Source organism: Homo sapiens, chromosome 3, assembly GCF_000001405.40.
Source record: "Homo sapiens chromosome 3, GRCh38.p14 Primary Assembly".
Classification (NCBI taxonomy): Eukaryota; Metazoa; Chordata; class Mammalia; order Primates; family Hominidae; genus Homo; species Homo sapiens.
In genome coordinates this window covers 80311289-80316206 of record NC_000003.12, presented here as the reverse complement: position 1 = coordinate 80316206, position 4918 = coordinate 80311289, and the positions used below count along the sequence as shown (strand labels likewise).

Here is a 4918-nt window from a genome sequence, read left to right as displayed (position 1 = left end):
TTTTTTTTTTGTATTTATCTGGGGTCAGTGGAAATGTCCCCTTTGTCTTTTCTAATTGTGTTTATTTGAATCCTCTCTGCTTTTTTCTATATTAGTCTAGTATTGGTCTGTCTATTTAAACTTTTTTTCAAAAAAAAAAAAACAACTCCTGGATTTGTTGATCTTTTGTATGGTTTTCCTCACCTCAATTTCCTTCAGTTCAGATCTGATTTTGACTATTTCTTGTCTTCTGCTAGCTTTGGTTTGCTCTTGTTTCTATAATTCCTCTAGTTGTAATGTTAGATTATTAATTTAAGATCTAACTTTTTGATATGGACATTTAATGCTATAACCCTCCCAGTTAACAATGCTTTAGCTGTGTCCCAGAGATTCTGGTATGTTATATCTTTGTTCTCATAAATTTCAAATGAAGTCTTGATTTCTGTCTTAATTTTACTATTTACCTAAAGGTCATTTAGAAGCTGGTTGTTTAATTTCCATGTAATTATATGGTTATGAGTGGTTTTGTGTCCAGAATTGGTGGGCTCTTGGTCTCACTGACTTCAAGAATGAAGCTGTGAACCCTCGCGGTGAGTGTTACAGTTCTTAAAGGCGGTGTGTCAGGAGTTTGTTCCTTCTGATGTTCACATGTGTTCGGAGTTTCTTCCTTCTGGTGGGTTCGTGGTCTTGCTGGCTCAGGAGTGAAGCTGCAGACCTTCGCGGTGAGTGTTAACAGCTCTTAAGGCGGCGCGTCTGGAGTTGTTCATTCCTGCTGGTTGGTTCGTGGTCTCGCTGGCTTCAGGAATGAAGCTGCAGACCTTCACGGTGAGTGTTACAGCTCATAAAGGCAGCGTGGATCCAAAAAGTAAGCAGTAGCAAGATTTATTGCAAAGAGCAAAAGAACAAAGCTTCCACAGTGTGGAAGGGGACCCGAGTGGGTTGCCAATGCTGGCTCCCACAGCCTGCTTTTATTCTCTTATCTGGCCCCACCCACATCCTGCTGATTGGTAGAGCTGAGTGGTCTGTTTTGACAGGGTGCTGATTGGTGCGTTTACAGTCCCTGAGCTAGACACAAAGGTTCTCCATGTCCCCACCAGATTAGCTAGATACAGAGTGTCCACACAAAGGTTCTCCAAGGCCCCACCAGAGTAGCTAGATACAGAGTGTGGATTGGTGCATTCACAAACCCTGAGCTAGACACAGGGTGCTGATTGGTGTGTTTACAAACCTTGAGCTAGATACAGAGTGCTGATTGGTGTATTTACAATCCCTGAGCTAGACATAAAGATTCTCCACGTCCCCACCAGACTCAGGAGCCCAGCTGGCTTCACTAACCCAGTGGATCCCACACTGGGGCTGCAGGTGGAGCTGCCTGCCAGTCCCGCGCTGTGCGCCCGCACTCCTCAGCCCTTGGGTGGTCCATGGGACTGAGCGCTGTGGAGCAGGGGGCGGCTCTCATTGGGGAGGCTTGGGCAGCACAGGAGCCCACGGAGTGGGGGAGGCTCAGGTATGGCGGGCTGCAGGTCCCGAGCCCTGCCCTGTGGGGAGGCAGCTAAGACCAGGCGAAAAATCAAGCACAGCAGCTGCTGGCCCAGGTGCTAAGCCCCTCACTGCCCAGTACCGGTGGGGCCGGCCGGCTGCTCCAAGTGCAGCGTCTGCGGAGCCCACGCCCACCCGAAACTCACGCTGGCCCACAAGCACCACAGGGGAAGCCTGCGCCTCTCCCTCCACACCTCCTCGCAAGCTGAGGGAGCCGGCTCCAGCCTTGGCCAGCCCAGAAAGGGGCTCCCACAGTGCAGGGGTGGGCTGAGGGGCTCCTCAAGTGCCGCCAAAGTGGGAGCCCAGGCAGAGGAGGTGCCGAGAGCAAGCCAGGGCTGTGAGGACTGCCAGCACGCTCTCACCTGTCAATTTCCTTAAGATTCATTTTTATTTTTATTGTCCTGTGGTCTGTGACTGTGGTTGGTATAATTTCAGATTTTTTGAATTTGCTGAGGATTGTTTTATGTCTGATTATATGGTCAATTTAAGGTATATGCCATGTGCAAATAAAAGGTAACGTATATTCTTCTGGTTTTGGGTGGAGCATTCTGTATGTATCTATTAGGTTCTTTTGGTCAAGTATTGAGTTCAGGTCCTAAATACCTTTATTAGTTTTCTGCCTCAGTGACCTTTCTGATACTGCCAGTGAAGCACTGAAGTCTCCAATCATTATTGTGTGCCTGCCTAAGTCTCTTTGTAAGTGTCTAAGAACTTGCTTTATGAATATGGTGCTCCCGTTTGGGGTGCATACATATTAAAGATTATTTAGGTCTCCTTGTGGAATTGCATCTTTTACCATTATGCAATGCCCTTCTCCATCTTTTTTAATCTTTGCTGGTTTAAAGTCCACTTTGTCTTAAATTAGAACAGCAACCCCTTCTTTTCTTCTGTTTTCTGTTTGCTTGCTAGATTTTTCTCCACCCCTTTACTTTGAGCCTCTTCGTGTCACTGCATGGGAGATGGGTCTCTTGAAGACAGCATACCATTCAGTCATGCTTCATTATCCAATTTGCCACTCTGCCTTTTAATTGGGGGACTTCCACCTATTTATATTCAAAGTTAATGTTGATATGTGCAAATGAGTTCCTGTCATCATGTTATTAGCAGGTTATTATGCAGACTTGTTTGGTTGGTTGCTTTATAGTGTCACTGGTCTATGTACGTAAGTGTGTTTCTGTAGCAGCTGGTAATGTTTAGCACTCCCTTTGGGATCTCTTGTAAGGCAAGCCTTATTGTAACAAAATCCCTTGGCATTTGCTGGTCTGAAAATAATCTTATTTCTCTTCCAATTATGAACTTTATTTGGGTTGGATATGTAATTCTTTGTTGGAAATGCTTTTATTTAGGAATGCTGACCATAGGTCTCCTTTCTCTTCTGGCTTGTAAGATTTCTGTGGAAAGTACCTCTGTTAGTCTGATGGGCTCCTTTTTGTAGAAGATCTGCTCGCCAGCTGCCTTTAACATTTTTTTTCTTTCATTTTATCCCTGGAGTATCTGAGGACTATGTGTCTTGGGGATGGTCTTCTTTGGTAGTATTTCACCAAGGGTCTCTGAATTTTCTAAATTTGAATGTTTCCCTCTCTAGTGGAGTTGGGGAAAATTTCATGAATAATATCCTAAAACATGCCTTCTAAGTTGTTTGATTTCTCTTCCTTTCAAGGATGCAAAGGAGTCACAGATTTGGTCTCTTTTCATCTCCAATATTTCTCTAAGGTTGTGTTCTTTCTTTTTGTTATTTTTTCATAATTTTTGTATGACTCCTTTATTTCAGAAAGCAGGTCTTTGAGCTCTGAGATTCTTATCTCAGCTTGGTTGATTCTACTGTTAATACTTAGGATTGTACTCTGAAATTCTTTAAGTGAGTTTTTCAGCTTTATCAGCTGAGTTTGGTTCTTTCTTAAGATGCCTATATTGTATTTCATTTCCTGTATCATTTTATTGTGTTCCTTATAATCCTAGTGTAACGCCAAAGGTTCTTGCGTTAGCCATGCCAAAGATTTGGTGTGGCAGCAGCCCGCGGTGAGAGACAGAGATCAGACTGAGAGAAAAAAAGCTGTAGGCTTTGTTGAGTAGAGTGACAGTACACAGCTTCCACAGCATGGAAGGGGTCCCGAGCAGGTAGTCAGTGTTAGATTTTTTGATCACCTTTTAAACTCTTTAAGGCGAGAAATATGTGTGGGGGGAAGATGCTACCAGAGCGAGAAACAAAGACAATTAACATGTCTCAGATCTTGAGGAAAACCGGAATTGTAACTTCAGTTTTGTCTACTTTATAACCTTGTAGCGGCATGGCAAAGGAGACAGGATCTCACAGGATTTTACAAATTGTGTTTATAAGGAATCAGAATTGGGAGCATAGATAAGGTCTGCTGGTCACAGAAAAATGGACTTTTAACATTCCTTTTAGTTTTAGGGGAGGGGGAAGGGAGAGAAAGAGTGAGGACACAGGGATTCTTACAGCAAAAGTTTTGCTGTTTATAGCTTTCTTGGGGAAGAAAACACATGCACAAATCCTGGTGTTAGGAATATTTTAAGCATATATATTCAATATTATTCATCCAGGACCAAAGTAAGTCCTGATGTAAGAAATGAGTGAGTTTCACAACTTTCTGAGCCCCTACTCAACCCAGGAAGCCCAGCTGGAACCTCCTCTCAGTTCCCCCTCTAGATTGGACACCCCAACTCCTGTTGGGACCTGGGCGGCTGTCGTTCTGGCTACTTTCTGCTGATTAGGGGCGAAGAAGGGGCCCTGCAGTTGTGGTGTCCTCCAGAGGGGAACTTTTTAGCCTAGTGAGGGACCAGCGGGTCGATCCAGGGGTCCTCGGTAGAAGCCGTGAGTTGAGCTCATTTGAGATTCCATTTGTAAGACCTCTTGTAGCTTGATGGTCTCGAACCTGGAGGAAACAAATTTGACAAGGAGGTTAAAAATGCAAGGCCCAAAAGCAAGTAATAATAGGATTGCTCTCGCAGGGCCTACAAAGGAGAGGAGCCAAGGTATCCATTAGTTAAACATATTCCCGGGCCCTGAGTGTTCAAGCTCCTTTTTTTTACCTTTTATTTATTTGTTTATTTTTGTCTTTTTAGTAATGATTTCTGACTGGTTAACGAAATAGCAACATTCTTCTTCTAAGAAGAGGCAGGTTCCTCCTCTTTCAGCTGTTAATAATTCTAGGGGTCTTTGGTTTTGAAGGACTACTGTAGCTAGAGAATTAAGCTGGCTTTGTAGGGTCACTAGGGAGTCGGCAACTGATTCCATGTCATCATTTAATTCTCATGATAATTTATAATAGAACTGGGTGGAGGAAGTTGTGCCTCCAATTCCAATCCCAAGCCCGTCGAGTATTCCGGCTCCTACAGTAAAAGGGACAATAAGGGCTCACATGTGGCGAGATTGGGGTAT

The 4918-nt window shown here is 44.0% G+C and overlaps 1 annotated feature.

Annotated features, from left to right (window-relative positions):
* Nucleotides 1203-1702: an enhancer, noted in NCBI's record as "H3K27ac-H3K4me1 hESC enhancer chr3:80363655-80364154 (GRCh37/hg19 assembly coordinates)". NCBI's record gives its function as "activates a minimal SCP1, AML or CMV promoter by ChIP-STARR-seq in naive H9 embryonic stem cells {active_cell/tissue: H9 hESC(naive)}" and the evidence as "EXISTENCE:reporter gene assay evidence [ECO:0000049][PMID:30033119]".